This window comes from Homo sapiens, chromosome 21, assembly GCF_000001405.40.
Source record: "Homo sapiens chromosome 21, GRCh38.p14 Primary Assembly".
NCBI lineage: Eukaryota > Metazoa > Chordata > Mammalia > Primates > Hominidae > Homo > Homo sapiens.
The window spans coordinates 46286342-46303221 of NC_000021.9; the positions used below are offsets into that span (position 1 = coordinate 46286342).

Consider the following 16880-nt stretch of genomic DNA (forward strand, 5'->3'; position numbering starts at 1 on the left):
AACCCGCTCTGTGGCGGGGCTTCCGGTCGGGAGGGTCCGCCCGCTCTCGCGTCCTTTGCTGGGTCCAGACACCGGTACGTCCGGGCGGGTTTTTAGTCTCCCAAGCGAGAGCGTCGCATTCACCCGCGTGGGTCTGCGGGCGCCCCAGACCCCAGAGGACCCGGCCCCCAACGCTTACCTGTCCCCTCTCCTGTCCCTCCCCCATTCCAGCCCCTTCTCTCCCCAGCCGTTGCCCCTCCCCGCACCCCGCCGCGTCCGCGCGCCTCTCTCCGCGCGCACCCCCAACCCGCCCCCTTTTCTCTGGGAACCGCTCCTTCCGCTCCGCCCGCCTGGAGTCCTTCTGGCCGGATTCCGCGGCATCCTTCCATAGACCCTCGTTGTTGCTTCCTCCTTGTGGTAAATGTAAATTCCCTTAAGATTTTCAATCAGTTCCACCAAATAAAGTGATCTGATTGCGCGTGCATCTGTATTTTTACAGACCGTATTATCACTTGTACTGATTGGTCTTCTCTTACACTTTAACCCCAGGTTCCGTTGCAAACATTTTTAAAGGGCTGGTTATTCTTCCTGAAATGAGTTTGGTGATTAGAAATCTGCAGCGAGTCATCCCCATCAGGAGAGCGCCACTTCGCAGTAAGATCGAGATTGTAAGGAGGATTTTAGGAGTGCAGAAATTTGACCTGGGGATCATCTGTGTTGACAACAAGAATATTCAGCACATTAATAGAATCTACAGAGATAGAAATGTCCCAACCGATGTGCTTTCTTTTCCATTTCATGAGGTAAAAAAAAAATGTTCCTCTTCTTGTCTAGCCCATCTTCCCAGAGTAAATTTCCTGTCGTTTTGTTTTGTTTTGTTTTGTTTTTTAATTGAGACGGAGTCTTGCTCTGTCACCCAGGCTGGAGTGCAGTGGTGCGATCTCGGCTCACTGCAACCTCCCTTCCTGGTTCAAGTGATTCTTTTGCCTCAGCCTCCCCAGTAGGTGGGACCACAGATGCTGGCCACCACGCCTGGCTAATTTTTTTTTGTCAGTATTTTTAGTAGAGACGGGGGTTTTACCATGTTGGCCAGGCTGCTCCTGAACTGATCTCAGGTGATCTGCCTGCCTCGGGCTTCCCAGAGTGTTGGGATTACAGGCGTGAGCCAGAGCACCCGGCCTAAATTTCATGTATTAATTATATTATAGGCTAGGCTCCATGGTGCCTATAAGTATATATGTTACAGACATGATTTTTAATTTTAATTTTGAAAATTTTCAAATATACACAAAAGTAGAGAGAGCAGTATATTCAGCCTCCACTGATCGAGGCCCATCACCCAGAGTCTACAATTACACTGGTAACCCAGCAGGAAAAAGAAAGGTGACAGCCGAGCGCGATGGCTCATACCCATAATCCCAGCACTTTGGGAGCCCGAGGCGGGTGGTTCACCTGAGGTCAGGAGTTCGAGATCAGCCTGGCCAACATGGTGAAACCCTGCCTCTACTAAAAACACAAAGAATTAGCTGGGTGTGGTTGTGCCGGGCGGGAGGTGGAGGGGGGCACCTATAATCCTAGCTACCTGGGAGGCTGAGGCAGGAGAATCGCTTGAACCCCAGAGATGGAGGTTGCAGTGAGCTGAGATCACACCATTGCACTCCAGCCTGGGCAAGAAGAGCGAAACTCTGTCTCAGGAAAAAAAAAAGAAAAGAAAAAGGTGACTAGCGTCCACCCCCCTTCCCCTCCTAATGCTCTCAGTGAATTAGAAGAGAGAAGCAAACTGCTTCTGCAATATTTTTGCAGTTTTAAGTGGGATTCGTTAATGAATATGTGCACATTGGAAAAATTAAAACAACACTGAAAATAAACAGACTGGGGTAAATATTTCCAACAAACTCAATGTAATAGCAGTCAGGTTATTATCTACATTCTGTAGATGACTTCATTCAAGGCTTCCCACATTGTAGCAGCAGGAATTGGAGCAATCCTTTGGGAAAGCAACTTGGCATTTCAAACACATGTATCCTTTAGTCCTGTGGTGACACACCCAAGACAATAAACCAAAAGGCAGAAGAGGCCGGGTGCAGTGGCTCACGCCTGTAATCCCAGCACTTTGGGAGGCCGAGGTGGGTGGATCACGATGTCAGGAATTCAAGACCATCCTGGCCAACATGGTGAAACCCCGTCTCTACTAAAAATACAAAAAAAGTTAGCTGGGTGTGGTGGCATTTGCCTGTAATCCCAGCTACTCGGGAGGCTGAGGCAGGAAAATCTCTTGAACCAGGAAGTCGGAGGTTGCAGTGAGCTGAGATTGCACCACTGCACTCCAGCCTGGCGACAGAGCGAGACTCCGTCTCAAAAAGAAAAAAAAAAAAAGAAGAAAAGAAAATGCTGAATCACGTAAAAATGTATTGAAATGTTAATTTATTGGCTGGGCCTATAATCCCAGCACTTTGGGAAGCTAAGGTGGGAGGATCACTTGAGCCCAGGAGTTCAAGACCAGTCTGGGCAACATGGTCAAACCTTGTTTCTACAAAAAATAAAAACAACAATTAGCCGGGCATGGTGGTGTGCAGAGCTGTCGTCCCAGCTACTCAGGAGGCTAAGGTGAGAGGATCGCCTGAGCTCAAGAAACTGAGGCTGCAGTGAGCCAAGACTGCACCTCTGCACTCCACCCTGGGCCACAGAGTAACACCCTTTTTCAAAAAAAAAGTTACCATTTTCTGTAATAGGAAAATAAGAGGAGCATCCTAAATATCCAGCCATAGGTGACTGGCTTAGTGTGAACAGTCCTTAACTAAGTGGACTGGTCTTTATAGTCTTTATGTGGAAAATGTGAAAGACTCTTTAGGACAAAATACCAAGTGGAAAGAACAGGAATATACAGTCGTGTCCATGTGATGATTTAACTCTGTAGAAGTTGTGGATCTGCGTGATTCTGCATTGGGAGGGATGAAAGAAATGAAAAGCCATTTGACAAGGTGATAGCAACCTAAACAAACAGGCTTTTAAAGAAAAGGATGTTTATTTGGGATAGAGCATTGCAGTGAAAATACATGCCACATGCCATAGTAGACTGTGTGGATATTCGCATATTCAGGGAGGTAAAGGAAGGCAAGGGTTTTGTTTTTTTTTTTTTTTTTGAGACGGAGGCTTGCTCTGTCACCCAGGCTGGAGTGCAATGGCACAATCTCGGCTCACTGCAACCTCCACCTCTCAGGTCCAAGCGATTCTCCTGCTTCAGCCTCCCGAGTAGCTGGGATTACAGGCGCCCACCACCACATCTGGCTAATTTTTTTTTTTTTGTATTTTTAGTAAAGTTGGGGTTTCACCATGTTGGCCAAGCTGGTCTAGAACTCCTGACCTCAGGTGATCTACCCGCCTCTGCCTTCCAAAGTGCTGGGATTACAGGCGTGAGCCACTGAGCCCCGCCTGGCAAAGGTTTTTAAAGGAAAAAAACATAATTGTTTTGAGATAATGATCCTTGGTTGCAAAGATCAATAACAAGATTAATGTCCGTCCAAGGTTAGACAGGCAGTTGCTGGGCAGATTATCCTTGCAGAAGTTTCTGTGTGCGTGTAAGGTTGTCATAGCCTTTGTGCAAGGTTGCAGTTTTGTGTGTGTGTAAGGTTGTCATAGCCTTTGTGCAAGGTTGCAGTTTCGTGTGTGTGTGTAAGGTTGTCATAGCCTTTGTGCAAGGTTGCAGTTTTGTATGTGTGTAAGGTTGTCATAGCCTTTGTTGCAGTTTTTGCCATCTTTAGTGACAGTTTTTGTTATCAGGCATGGAAGTATGAGAATCCTCTCTTCATAGCTTTCCCCAGCTCTATTTGTCAGGTTTTTTGGTTTGTTTGTATAACCCTAATGGCTCCATTTTTATTCTGACAAATTCCTTTTTTTTTTTGAGACGGAGTCTTGCTCTGTCAGCCAGGCTGAAGTGCAATGGCGCAGTCTAGGGGCTCACTGCAACCTCCGCCTCCCAGGTTCAAGCGATTCTCCTGCCTCAGCCTCCCGAGTAGCTGGGGTTACAGGCATGTGCCATCACACCTGGCTAATTTTTGTATTTTTAGTAGAGATGGGGTTTCACCATGTTGGTCAGGCTGGTGTCAAACCCCTGACCTCTTGATCTGCCCGCCTCGGCCTCCCAAAGTGCTGGGATTACAGCTGTGAGCCACCACGCCTGGCTATTCTGACAATTTTCACAATGGAAACAATTTAGGGCACTTGTGTACGGTTGGCTGGGCAACCCACCCGCCACAGGCCCAGCTGCCACTCTGGCCTGAGACATGCATCTTAAGAGTGATTTGGGTGGCTGGCACAGTGGCTCACGCCTGTAATCCCAGCACTCTGGGAGGCTGAGGCAGGCAGATCACCTGAGGTCAGGAGTTCGAGACCAGCCTGACCCATATGATGAAACCCCATCTCTACTAAAAAATACAAAAATTAGGCCAGACGCGGTGGCTCACGCCTGTAATCCCAGCACTTTCGGAGGCCAAGGCGGGTGGATCACCTGAGGTTGGGAGTTTGAGACCAGCCTGACCAACACGGAGAAACCCAGTCTCTACTAAAAATACAAAATTAGCCGGGCGTGGTGGCGCATGCCTGTAGTCCCAGCTACTCGGGAGGCTGAGGCAGGAGAATTGCTTGAACCCAGGAGGCGGACACTCCAGCCTGGGCAACAAGAGGGAAACTCTGTCTCAGGAAAAAAAAAAAAAAAAGAAATACAAAAATTAGCTGGGCACGGTGGCATGCACCTGTAATCCCAGCTACTCAGGAGGCTGAGACAGGAGAATCACTTGAACCCGGGAGGCAGAGGTTGCAGTGAGCCGAGATCGCGCCATTCCACTGCAGCCTGGGCAACAAGAGTGAAACTCCGTCTCAAAAAAAAAAAAAAAAAAAGTGATTTGGCTCAGAGATAAGTGCTTATTTGCCTTGGGATTAACCAGGATGAAACCTGTCAACCTGTGGTTGGGTTACGTTTCCTGTTCTCTAAGTCTACATTTCCTCATTTTTTAGCATCTGAAAGCAGGTGAATTTCCCCAGCCTGATTTTCCAGATGACTACAATTTGGGAGACATTTTCCTAGGAGTGGAGTATATCTTCCATCAGTGTAAAGAAAATGAAGATTACAATGACGTCCTGACTGTAAGCGGGGATGCTGAAATCATATAACCTGGCTCATGGAACATGGGCCTTGCAAAGGGGTCAAGATCACAACCCTGCATCCATGTGTGTCCGTGGGTACCGTAAGGGCTACTGGGGGAAGAACCTGTAAGCAGGGTGTGAGGAGCACCCAGGCTGGGTAGGGACTGCATGCCCCATGCCACAGTTGAAGGAGGGAGAGAACACGCTGTGAAAACACAGAAGCTCCCAGAGAAGCCTTCTCAGCTTTTATCTCTGGAGTAGAGCAGACTATGTTGAGCTAACACAGACCTGCTGAATCAGCTTCTTTCTGAGCTGCCAGAAGTACAGAAGTTGGAGCCTCCACCACCTTCCAGATCTGTTTCTCCTCAGTGTAATCCACCTATGGGTTCTTCCTGCCCACTGCACAGACAAAACCAATTCACTGCAATTGTGGTATTGCAGTAGAGAAAGAGTTTAACACAGAGCTAGCCAAGCAGAAAGGCTGGAGTTATTATTCAACTCAATCTCCCAGAGAACTCAGAGGCTACAGTTTCTACAGGCAATTTGGCAGGCAGGGGCTAGGGAATGCCTGCTGCTGATCGGCTGCAGACGGACCATGGGGTGTCAACGATTTTTGTCCCCTGAGTCCGCCTCTGCGTGGAGCCACGGGATCAGCTGAGTCATGAGTCTCAGGTCCAGGTGGAGTCTGTAGGTTGCCAGAACTCAAAAGTCTGAAAAACATCCCAAAAGACCATTCTTAGGTTGTACTATTGACGTTATCTTATTGGGGAGCAATTGGGGCGGTCACAAATCTCGTGACCTCTGGCTGCGTGAGTCCTGAGCAGTAGGGAATTACAGCAGGGCAAGCTGGGGAAGCAAGGCCTGCGGGCTGGTTCTCCTCAGGACACCTACATCTGAGCAGAATTCAGGCCCCTCCCATCATCCTAATCTTGTGGCCCTTCACAAGCTTCACAGAGGTGGCTTCGGTCTTGAGCAAGGAGGGGATTCGTTTTAGGGAGGGATGATTACTATTCTTGATTTAAAGTTAAACTCTAGATTAAATTCCTCCCGTGGTTAGCTTGGCCTGTGCCCGGGACTGAGTGGGGACAGCCACGCAAGTTAAACTCTAGATTAAATTCCTCCCGCGGTTAGCCTGACCCGTGCCCGGGACTCAGTGGGGACAGCCACGCAAGTTAAACTCTAGATTAAATTCCTCCCGCGGTTAGCCTGACCCGTGCCCGGGACTCAGTGGGGACAGCCACGCAAGTTAGACTCTAGATTAAATTCCTCCCGCGGTTAGCCTGACCCGTGCCCGGGACTCAGTGGAGTCAGCCACACAAGTTAAACTCTAGATTAAATTCCTCCCGCGGTTAGCCTGACCCGTGCCCGGGACTCAGTGGAGTCAGCCACGCAAGTTAAACTCTAGATTAAATTCCTCCCGCGGTTAGCCTGACCCGTGCCCGGGACTCAGTGGGGACAGCCACACAAGTTAGACTCTAGATTAAATTCCTCCCGCGGTTAGCCTGACCCGTGCCCGGGACTCAGTGGGGACAGCCACACAAGTTAAACTCTAGATTAAATTCCTCCCGCGGTTAGCCTGACCTGTGCCCGGGACTCAGTGGGGACAGCCACGCAAGTTAAACTCTAGATTAAATTCCTCCCGCGGTTAGCCTGACCCGTGCCCGGGACTCAGTGGAGTCAGCCACACAAGTTAAACTCTAGATTAAATTCCTCCCGCGGTTAGCCTGACCCGTGCCCGGGACTCAGTGGGGACAGCCACGCAAGTTAAACTCTAGATTAAATTCCTCCCGCGGTTAGCCTGACCCGTGCCCGGGACTCAGTGGGGACAGCCACACAAGTTAAACTCTAGATTAAATTCCTCCCGCGGTTAGCCTGACCCGTGCCCGGGACTCAGTGGAGTCAGCCACGCAAGTTAGACTCTAGATTAAATTCCTCCCGCGGTTAGCCTGACCCGTGCCCGGGACTCAGTGGAGTCAGCCACACAAGTTAGACTCTAGATTAAATTCCTCCCGCGGTTAGCCTGACCCGTGCCCGGGACTCAGTGGGGACAGCCACACAAGTTAGACTCTAGATTAAATTCCTCCCGCGGTTAGCCTGACCCGTGCCCGGGACTCAGTGGAGTCAGCCACGCAAGTTAGACTCTAGATTAAATTCCTCCCGCGGTTAGCCTGACCCGTGCCCGGGACTCAGTGGGGACAGCCACGCAAGTTAGACTCTAGATTAAATTCCTCCCGCGGTTAGCCTGACCCGTGCCCGGGACTCAGTGGAGTCAGCCACGCAAGTTAGACTCTAGATTAAATTCCTCCCGCGGTTAGCCTGACCCATGCCCGGGACTCAGTGGGGACAGCCACGCAAGTTAGACTCTAGATTAAATTCCTCCCGCGGTTAGCCTGACCCGTGCCCGGGACTCAGTGGGGACAGCCACACAAGTTAGACTCTAGATTAAATTCCTCCCGCGGTTAGCCTGACCCGTGCCCGGGACTCAGTGGAGTCAGCCACGCAAGTTAGACTCTAGATTAAATTCCTCCCGCGGTTAGCCTGACCCGTGCCCGGGACTCAGTGGAGTCAGCCACACAAGTTAGACTCTAGATTAAATTCCTCCCGCGGTTAGCCTGACCCGTGCCCGGGACTCAGTGGAGTCAGCCACACAAGTTAAACTCTAGATTAAATTCCTCCCGCGGTTAGCCTGACCTGTGCCCGGGACTCAGTGGAGTCAGCCACACAAGTTAAACTCTAGATTAAATTCCTCCCGCGGTTAGCCTGACCCGTGCCCGGGACTCAGTGGAGTCAGCCACGCAAGTTAGACTCTAGATTAAATTCCTCCCGCGGTTAGCCTGACCCGTGCCCGGGACTCAGTGGAGTCAGCCACGCAAGTTAAACTCTAGATTAAATTCCTCCCGCGGTTAGCCTGACCCGTGCCCGGGACTCAGTGGGGACAGCCACACAAGTTAAACTCTAGATTAAATTCCTCCCGCGGTTAGCCTGACCCGTGCCCGGGACTCAGTGGGGACAGCCACGCAAGTTAGACTCTAGATTAAATTCCTCCCGCGGTTAGCCTGACCCGTGCCCGGGACTCAGTGGAGTCAGCCACACAAGTTAAACTCTAGATTAAATTCCTCCCGCGGTTAGCCTGACCCGTGCCCGGGACTCAGTGGGGACAGCCACGCAAGTTAGACTCTAGATTAAATTCCTCCCGCGGTTAGCCTGACCCGTGCCCGGGACTCAGTGGAGTCAGCCACCCCAGACCTCTCTCACTGTTATCATTTTTGCACAGGTGGTTTCAGCAGCTTGATGCCAAAAAAAAAAAAAAAAAAGGAAAAGCATTCTGAAAAGCCATGTATGAGTGAATCATACTTAACTTGGCCTCCTTTGGCTGCACAGCCATGCCCTGAATCGCCCTTGTGGATCCAAGTGCATCTGTGTGGCTTGAGGCAGAGCTTCCCAGCCAGACCCAGTGTGAAAGGATGGGACGGCCACACAGGAACCTGGGCCCCAACTGCTCCCTCCAGACCTGGGTGGGACTTGCCCGCCATGCACACCCTGCTGGGGAAGAGGGAGTTTCTGAGAGTGACAGGAAGTGGCCCAGCCGGAGATTCAGCCCTGGGATCTCTGTGGCCAGCAACTGTGGGCGGGGGGGTATGTGGACATCTGCTTCCATTTTCCCCAAACCTAAGATTCTGTTCCCTGGTCTTCCCCTGGCATTTCTTCCTCGGGCCCAGAGCCCTCTCCTTGGGGCTCCCTATTACCCTGAGGGGAGGGCCAGCCCACCAGCCCAGGACCCCATCCTCATAGCCACAGGCCAGGCCAGCTCTGCTCAGGGCTGGCTCTCAGCTGCACTCTCCATCTACCCTGCCTTGTCCTCCATGTCTCCAGGCACCTCCCGCCAGCCCCAAGGATACCCACCTCCCAGACCTCCCTCTTCCCTCCACCCAAACCCCAGGGGAGTGCTACCCCTATGGCCCATGTGGCTCCATAAACCCCCTTGGTGCTGTGCCTGCTCAGGGTCCACAGGCCCTCCCTCCTCTTCCTCCTCCTCCTCCTCTTCCCCCAGCTCTGGGCTCCATCCGGGTGCCCCTCCCCTGTGGGCTTTAATCCAGCCCTCTCTCCAGGGGGACATGGCGACTGTGGGTCTTCCTGACTCACCAGCAGCTGCACCTCCCTCCGCCTCCGCCTTCATACCTCTCCCGCACTCCCTGTGCTGCCTGTGCCCCAAAGCTCTACCCAGAGTGTTCAGTAAAATCAGGGGCCACCGGAGGCCCCATCCTGACTGGGGGTTGGACCTGGGGTGTGGGCTGTGCGCTTGCCTCGTCCCTCTTAGGGCAGGGAGGCCACCCCTGGCCGGTGCCCCACTGCCCCACCACCCCGTGGCACCCACCCCTCCCCACTTCTTCATATTCCATCCCCCCTTGCCCATTGCTCCTGCGGCTGGGCAGTTCCATCCTGGGGGCCCCTCCCCAGCACAGTGCTGGCCCAGACAGCAATCCACGTTGACTAAAGACTCTCAAAGGGGCTTGCTTGCTTTCCATTTTAGATGGAAGGGAACTGAAGCTGAGTGCCTGTAATTCCTGCCCAGGGGTCTCACAGCAACCCTGGGGTCCTGCAGCCACATACCAAGAGCAGCCTGTGGCCCTGGGGTGGCCCTGAAGGGGCAGGTTCCTGTGGGGTCATCCTCTGAGCCGGTTTAAAATTATTCTGACAGGTGACGGCCACCCACGGACTCTGTCACTTGCTGGGATTCACACACGGCACGGAGGCAGAGTGGCAGCAGGTAAGGAGCCCATCCATCCCACTACCGAGGGGGTGCGTGGGGGAAGGAGGCTCCCCCAGGCCCCTGCCAGCCCCCACCCTCCATCTTGACCGCCCCCGCAGGAACTGGACCTCAGACCTGCCCTTGTAAAAATGACACAGATGTTTGCTTTCAACACCGGGCTCCCCAAATACTTCCAGCTGAATGTGTTCACTAAGGAAAGCGGTCTGAGTGCAGAGGCCGAGAGCCACAGCTGACACTAGCACGTGGCGCTTGGTCAAAAAGGTCCAATCAGCTAGAGACTAGGCCAGACCCAGGGCGGAGGCGGGAGCTCTGCGTGGAGTGAGTTCCGGGTTGGTTTCCTCCAGACCCATGCGCTCCGCCTACGGAGGCCCACGTGGGCTCCGGTCCACATGGTTAACACGCACGCAAGCCCGTGTTGGGAGCAAACTGCTTCTCTGAAAGTCATGAAAAACCTTTTTCATTAAAAAAAGAAAAAGTTTGGCCGGGCGCAGTGGCTCACGCCTGTAATCCCAGCACTTTGGGAGGCCGAGGCAGGCGGATCAACTGAGGTTGGGAGTTCGCGACCAGCCTGGCCAACATGGAGAAACCCTGTCTCTACTAAAAATACAAAATTAGCTGGGCCTGGTGGTGCATGCCTGTAATCCCAGCTACTCAGGAGGCTGAGGCAGGAGAATCGCTTGAACCCAGGAGGCGGAGGTTGTGGTTAGCCGAGAGATCGCGTCATTGCACTCCAGCCTGGGCAACAAGAGTGAAAGTCCGTCTCAAAAAGAAAAAGAAAAAGTTGGCCAGGCGCAGTGGCTCACGCCTGTAATCCCAGCACTTTGGGAGGCCGAGGAGGGTGGATCACTTGAGGTCAGGAGTTCAAGACCAGTCTGGCCAACATGGTGAAACCCGGTCTCTACTAAAAACGCAAAGATTAGCCGGGCGTGGTGGTGGGCGCCTGTAATCCCAGCTACAGGGGAGGCTGAGGCAGGAGAATCGCTTGAACCCGGGAGGTGGAGGTTGCAGTGAGCCCTCCTCCCCTCCTCCCCCTTCCCTTCCCACCTCCCATGCCCCCCTTTCTTCCTCCCACTCCCCTCCCGAGGCCCCGCTTATTCTCCCGGCCTGTGGCGGTTCGTGCACTCGCTGAGCTCAGGTTCTGGTGAAGGTGCCCGGAGCCGGGTCCCGCCTTCGGCCTGAGCTAGAGCCGCGCGGGCGGCCGGCTTCCCCCAAACCCTGTGGGAGGGGCATCCCGAGGAGGCGACCCCAGAGAGTGGGGCGCGGACACCTTCCCTGGGGAGGGCCAGCGCGCTTCCTTCCTTCCAGATGTTCCAGAAGGAGAAGGCGGTGCTGGACGAGCTGGGCCGACGCACGGGGACCCGGCTGCAGCCCCTGACCCGGGGCCTCTTCGGAGGGAGCTGAGGGCCGCGTTCCTTCTGAAAGCGGGACGCGGGAGGGGTGGAGGCTGCGGGGAGCCGGGGTCGCACACGAATAAATAACGAATGAACGTACGAGGGGAACCTCCTCTTATTTCCTTCACGTTGCATCGGGTATTTTTCGTTATTGTAAATAAAACGGTTCCGAGCCGTGGCATCGAGAGGGCGTCTGGAGTTCAGGGAACGCGTGGCCCCCGCCCGGGAGCACCGCGCAGCGCTCGCCTCTCGCCCTTCAAGGGGGTCCCTGCCCGGAGCCTGCGCCCCCGGAGAGGAAGGGGCTCGAGGGGCTTGGGTGCCGCAGCGCGTCCTTCCGTAGAAAAGGCTTGCGTCAGTATTTCCTGCTTTTACCTCCTGAGTATTGGAATATTCGAGTAAACCCTGGAGTTTCAGCGCCAGCGCACGCCTCTTCATCAGGGCAGCGCGTCGCGAGCGCGCTGGTTCCCCGGGGCCTCCCGGCCACGGACACCGCTCTAGCCAGGGCCACGGCGAGGCCGCCGAGCAGCACCTCAGAGACCTGCGTGAGTTCTAAAGCCTGGGGCTACTACAATTCTGCTCATCTGTTTGTCCTGTGAAATGATTCAGGGACATGAAAATGCCTTCCCACTGACTTGCGTCCTGTCTTAGCCTGGACTTGTCCCCTTGGGAACACGGGCCAGGCCCCTCTGTTCCTGAAGTCGCTGCACCACCGCGCCCTTCGGTGAAGAGCGTTCTGTTTACTGTGAGACATAGCTTCATGTCGAAAAAGTACTCGTGAAAACAGAAAATGGAGTCAGCTTTAATCCAAGCTTTTTTTTTTTTGAGACGGAGTCTCGCTCTGTCGCCCAGGCTGGAGTGCAGTGGTGCGATCTCGGCTCACTACAGGCTCCGCCCGCCGGGGTTCACGCCATTCTCCTGCTTCATCCTCCCGAGTAGCTGGGACTACAGGCGCCCGCCACCTCGCCCGGCTAATTTTTTGTATTTTTAGTAGAGACGGGGTTTCACTGTGTTAGCCAGGATGGTCTCCATCTCCTGACCTCGTGATCCGCCCACCTCGGCCTCCCAAAGTGCTGGGATTACAGGCGTGAGCCACCACGCCCGGCCTGTTTTGTTATTTTGAGGTAGGGTCTGGCTCTGTTGCCCAGGCTGGAGTGCAGTGGTGCAGTCTCGGCTCACTGTAACCTCTGCCTCCTGGGCTCAAGCCATTCTCCTGCCTCAGCCTCCCGAGCAGCTGGGACTACAAGTGCGCACCACTACGCCCAGCTAATTTTTGTTTCTGTAGAGACAGGGTTTCGCTGTGTTGACCAGGCTGGGCTTGAACTCCTGACCTCAAGTAATCTGCCCGCCTCAGCCTCCCAAAGTGCTGGGATCACAGGTGTGAGCCACACACCGTGTCCGGCCCAATCCTGTATTTCTTTCTTTCTTTTTTTTTTTTTTTTTGGAGTGATTCTCCTGCCTGAGCCTCCCAGGTAGCTTGTACTACATGTGTGTGCCACCACACCTGGCTAATTTTTGTATTTCTTAGTAGAGACAGGGTTTCACCATGTTGGCCGGGCAGGTCTCAAATTCCTGACCTCAAGTGATTGATCCGCCTAGGCCTCCCAAAGTGCTGACATTATAGGTGTGAGCCGCTGTGCCTGGCCCCAACCCTTTGTTTCTTTAGGGAATGTGAGCAAATGCCCTTCTGACCTGAATCTGAGGAAGAGCCGCCCGTGGCCCAGGCAGCAGCAGCATCACCTGTTGCAGGGTAGTTTCCTGCTCTAGGAACCTGGTAGTTAGGAGTGGGGGCTCACAGGTCACCACTGCCCAGCCTGTCCCCAGCCATACTGCCCTGATTCTGGACCCTCTTGCAAGCCAGAGTGTCGTCAGAGCAGGTCCGTCCTCATCCTTCTGCTCCCAGAGTCACCCGGCCCTTCACGTTCTGTGTGGTTCCAGATTCAGCTCCTCACATGCCAGGAAGAATGTGGTATCTTGACTGGAGTTGCATTGAATCTGCAGATCTGCCAACCCTGTGGAGGCTCTGACCCATGCATATGTGCTGCCTTGGTCCCTGGGTCATCTTCAACCTCTCTCAGTGAGTGTCACCCAACTTATCAGGTGTACAGGTGTGCACAATGTGCCCTGAGCCCCCCCCACCACAGGCAAGGAGGTGTGGCCATGAGAAGCCCCCACTCCTAACTACCAGGTACCAGGCACCCAGACCCCAAAACCCCTGCCAAGTAGCCCAAGCCCATTTTCAGGGCCTGCTCTGAGCTCTTCAGCCTACCCAGGTGGACCAAGGGGGACCAAGGGGGACTGTGTATGGGGGTGAGCTCATCCCCTGCCCCACCCTCAGGTGTGACCCCACCCCTCCTGCAGGCCAGTCAAGGCTAAGCCAGTGCAGCTGTGCCCTCACCAGACACTCTGGATGCCAGAGCCTTTCATCCCTGTGAACCCAGCAAGACCAGGCCATCCAAAGACCACCACTTCCTGTGACATTTCTTCCCTCTGTTGTATGAAAAATTCTGTTGAGAAATATTTAATAGGCTGGGCGCGGTGGCTCAACGCCTGTAATCCCAGCACTTTGGGAGGCCGAGGCAGGTGGATCACGAGGTCAGGAAATCAAGACCATCCTGGCTAACACAGTGAAACCCCGTCTCTACTAAAAATACAAAAAATTAGCTGGGTGTGGTGGCGGGCACCTGTAGTCCCAGCTACACGGGAGGCTGAGGCAGGAGAATGGCATGAACCTGGGAGGCGGAGCTTGCAGTGAGCCGAGATCGCTCCATTGCACTCCAGCCTGGGCGACAAGAGCAAAACTCTGTCTCAAAAAAAAACATTTTTAATAGAAAGAAAGAAATGCCATGCTGGAAAGTCACCTTGAAAAGAGGAAATGGAGTCTGAGCTTTGGTTTGAGCTTTTAACGAGAGCACAGAGTCTCTGGAATCACCTTCAAGAGGCACGAAAAGATGGTTCTGAGAGAAGTGAGTGTTACTGCCAGTAGCTGCGCTGGGCCCTTCGGTGTTCACACCTGCCCGTCCATGTCAGCACCAGGTGGCTGTCCCTGGGGAGCTCTGCAGCTCAGTGGCAACTCTCTGGTCATCCTGTCTCCTACCTGCAAACTTTCAAAGATGGAAGCACTGGGACAGGGTTCCTCCTTGTGCGGAACTTCAGGAATGAAAGAATCTGTCCTAATAGGGGGTGAATGAAAGTTTATGTATACTACTTAAAAATATGTAAACAACATTAAAAGAGCAAAGAAACATAATTGCACCCAAAAAAAAAAGTAACAAAAAGTAAAGAAAAGAAATAGTCAAGGTAGCCTGTCCACATGGTAAGAAACCCCACAGCACAGAAGGAAACTGAACTGAGGGGAGTGAGCCGCCCTTCCACTGCCCAGCACTCACCTTTGCTTTACAGGAACAAGAGCTGTGCAAACCAGCATGTAGAGATTTCTGCATTTATAGCATTAGCACTCTCCCTTTTTTTTTTTTATTAACTCAAAAGGGATCACGTCATACACAGCTTGCTTCTTTCACTTTTTTATTTTATTTTTGAGACAGGGGCCTGCTCTGTGGTCCAGGCTATAGTGCAGTGGTTCCATCAGAGCTCACTGCAGCTTCTAACTCCTGGGCTCAAGCAATCCTCCCACCTCAGCCCCCAGAGCTGCTGAGATAACAGGCGCATATCACCACACCTGGCTAGTTTTTTAAATTTATTTTTTGTAGAGACGGGGTCTTGCTATGTGACCCAGGCTGGTCTCGAATTCCTGAGCTCAAGTGATCCTCCTGCCTCAGCCTCTTAAAGTGCTGGGATTACAGGCATGAGCCATGCACCCCTACTTCTTTAGTGGGAGTCTGTGCCACAGCTGTGGACACAGGTGTCCCTAGTTATTAAATTAGACTTTGTGGTATTTTCCCCATCAGGATGTTCACACTTCCATGTGGCTAAAGCTATTGATCTTTTCTGTTCTGGCTCCTGAGCTGAGATTTTCTTAAACTCTTTCTGGATGAAATCTTTATTTCATCAGGCTGGTGGCGTCCACGGCCTCAACTTTACCTCCGTGATGGAAGAGGGGGATCTGAGGCTCCCAGGTGGGCCGGCGCCGCCCTACAGGAAAGGAGGGGTCCCTGGGAGGGGCTGTTGCCCTGGTGGGGTTCACAGGCCCCTCACTGCAGGGGACCCGGAGCAAGGGATGCCCCCTGGAATGGCCCCGTGACCAGAAAGCGAGCCTGCCCAGCTTCCCCAGGAGGAGCCTGCAGTCCACACTCGCGTAGCCACTCCGGGTGGTGGCAGGGTCTCTCCCTGCTCCCTTCCATAGTCCCGCCACAGCCCACAGCCCTGAGGAAGCCTGGGGGTGGAGGGTGCCCCGGCCAGGGTCTCTGTGACTCACACTCAGGGTGGGCCAGGCGTCCACAGGCTGGGGGCGGGCTGGAGGACAGTGGCAGCCCCAGGTGGCCACACAGCATGGTGGTGGTGGTGGTGGTGGTGCACGGCAGGCAGCCTTGGCCTGGCAGCTCGTGGGACCCTCGGGGGCACATGTGGCGGGTCCTGCCACAGACGCACCTGCTGCTTAGGACGCAGCCCAGGCTGCTCCCCACCTCCACTCCCGCCCTGTTCCTAACTGGGGCTGGATCCCATGTGATAGGCAGGATGGCAGGGTCTAAGCATCCTCCCAGAGGAGGCTCCTCCCCCGCCCCAAATTGTGCAACCCATTCCTCATCTGGGCTGGGACTCGATGGGGATGGGGGCTTCACAGCCAGACTGTAGACCTGAGCCAGGAATGCCCTTTCAGAGCTACACAGATGCAGAAATTTCCAGAAGAAAAACCACCCAGGCCCTGTTTCCTTGGCCTAGGGTTCTGCTGGGGGCTAAGCCTACCTGCAGGGCTGGGGGCAGGGCCTTGAGCATCCAGTTCTGCAGGACCAACTGGTGCACCTGTGCGTTCTGCAGCAGCAGCAGCTCCACCATGTCTGCAGGGAAGAAGCAGGGGGACCCTGAATAAAGTTTCCGTTTTTCCTATTTGTTAAAGTGATAGAGCATTATAGGACCAGAGAACAGGTGTGTCTGTACACTGTGCAGGTCCCCGGGGCAGGCTCTGAGTCCGTCTGCACACGGTGCGGGTCCCCGGGGCGCGCCCTGAGCCCGTCTGCACACGGTGCGGGTCCCCGGGGCGCGCCCTGAGCCCGTCTGCACACGGTGCGGGTCCCCGGGGCGCGCCCTGAGCCCGTCTGCACACGGTGCGGGTCCCCGGGGCGCGCCCTGAGCCCGTCTGCACACGGTGCGGGTCCCCGGGGCGCGCCCTGAGCCCGTCTGCACACGGTGCGGGTCCCCGGGGCGCGCCCTGAGCCCGTCTGTACACGGTGCGGGTCCCCGGGGCGCGCCCTGAGTCTCTACTAAAAATACAAAAATTAGCCAGGCGTGGTGGTTCAAGCCTGTAATCCCAGCTCCTTGGGAGGCTGAGGCATGAGAATCGCTTGAACTCAAGAGGCAGAGCTTGCGGTGAGCCAAGATCGTGCCACTGTACTCCAGCCTGGGCAACCAGGGCGAAACTCCGTCTCAAGAAAAAAAAAAAATTAAAACATCTAAGCCAGTTGTAGTGGTGCATGCCTGTAGTC

General features: G+C 54.1%; 2 protein-coding genes across 39 annotated transcripts in view, besides 7 other annotated features; one reads left to right on the forward strand and one right to left on the reverse strand.

Annotated features, from left to right (window-relative positions):
- The window catches only part of YBEY (ybeY metalloendoribonuclease), a 26884-nt gene continuing 10004 nt past the window's right edge, over positions 1-16880 (forward strand). The window contains exons 1-6 of one of the 22 annotated variants that reach the window (XM_011529631.3): positions 1-74; positions 529-782; positions 4993-5121; positions 9821-9889; positions 13219-13357; positions 13642-13730. In XM_011529631.3, coding sequence (XP_011527933.1) covers positions 573-782; positions 4993-5121; positions 9821-9889; positions 13219-13357; positions 13642-13715 — 621 coding nt within the window. In that variant the 5' untranslated portion in view covers positions 1-74; positions 529-572 and the 3' untranslated portion in view covers positions 13716-13730. Of the gene's footprint in view, positions 403-528; positions 783-4992; positions 6178-9820; positions 9890-11197; positions 11411-13218; positions 13585-13641; positions 13731-16880 lie in introns of those variants that run through there. The other 21 variants (XM_047440898.1, XM_011529633.3, XM_011529635.3 and 18 more) reach the window with 21 other exon arrangements.
- Positions 215-324: a silencer, noted in NCBI's record as "silent region_13418". NCBI's record gives its function as "represses an Ori minimal core promoter by ATAC-STARR-seq in GM12878 lymphoblastoid cells {active_cell/tissue: GM12878}" and the evidence as "EXISTENCE:reporter gene assay evidence [ECO:0000049][PMID:35858748]".
- Positions 2888-3470: an enhancer, noted in NCBI's record as "H3K27ac hESC enhancer chr21:47709143-47709725 (GRCh37/hg19 assembly coordinates)". NCBI's record gives its function as "activates a minimal SCP1, AML or CMV promoter by ChIP-STARR-seq in primed H9 embryonic stem cells {active_cell/tissue: H9 hESC(primed)}" and the evidence as "EXISTENCE:reporter gene assay evidence [ECO:0000049][PMID:30033119]".
- Positions 3471-4052: an enhancer, noted in NCBI's record as "H3K27ac hESC enhancer chr21:47709726-47710307 (GRCh37/hg19 assembly coordinates)". NCBI's record gives its function as "activates a minimal SCP1, AML or CMV promoter by ChIP-STARR-seq in primed H9 embryonic stem cells {active_cell/tissue: H9 hESC(primed)}" and the evidence as "EXISTENCE:reporter gene assay evidence [ECO:0000049][PMID:30033119]".
- Positions 8494-8788: a silencer, noted in NCBI's record as "tiled region #4411; K562 Repressive DNase matched - State 5:Enh". NCBI's record gives its function as "represses a minimal TATA promoter and a strong SV40 promoter by Sharpr-MPRA in K562 cells {active_cell/tissue: K562}" and the evidence as "EXISTENCE:reporter gene assay evidence [ECO:0000049][PMID:27701403]".
- Positions 8494-8788: an enhancer, noted in NCBI's record as "tiled region #4411; HepG2 Activating non-DNase unmatched - State 4:PromP". NCBI's record gives its function as "activates a minimal TATA promoter and a strong SV40 promoter by Sharpr-MPRA in HepG2 cells {active_cell/tissue: HepG2}" and the evidence as "EXISTENCE:reporter gene assay evidence [ECO:0000049][PMID:27701403]".
- Positions 9034-9607: an enhancer, noted in NCBI's record as "H3K4me1 hESC enhancer chr21:47715289-47715862 (GRCh37/hg19 assembly coordinates)". NCBI's record gives its function as "activates a minimal SCP1, AML or CMV promoter by ChIP-STARR-seq in naive H9 embryonic stem cells {active_cell/tissue: H9 hESC(naive)}" and the evidence as "EXISTENCE:reporter gene assay evidence [ECO:0000049][PMID:30033119]".
- Positions 10034-10328: an enhancer, noted in NCBI's record as "tiled region #1466; HepG2 Activating DNase unmatched - State 1:Tss, and K562 Activating DNase unmatched - State 5:Enh". NCBI's record gives its function as "activates a minimal TATA promoter and a strong SV40 promoter by Sharpr-MPRA in HepG2 and K562 cells {active_cell/tissue: HepG2 | K562}" and the evidence as "EXISTENCE:reporter gene assay evidence [ECO:0000049][PMID:27701403]".
- C21orf58 (chromosome 21 open reading frame 58) overlaps positions 14089-16880 on the reverse strand; it is a 23441-nt gene continuing 20649 nt past the window's right edge. For 9 of the 17 annotated variants that reach the window (NM_001286477.2, XM_047440892.1, NM_058180.5 and 6 more), the window contains 2 exon segments: positions 16144-16235; positions 14789-15813 (listed from right to left, as the gene is read on the reverse strand). In NM_001286477.2, coding sequence (NP_001273406.1) covers positions 15658-15813; positions 16144-16235 — 248 coding nt within the window. In that variant the 3' untranslated portion in view covers positions 14789-15657. 17 annotated transcript variants of the gene reach the window in all.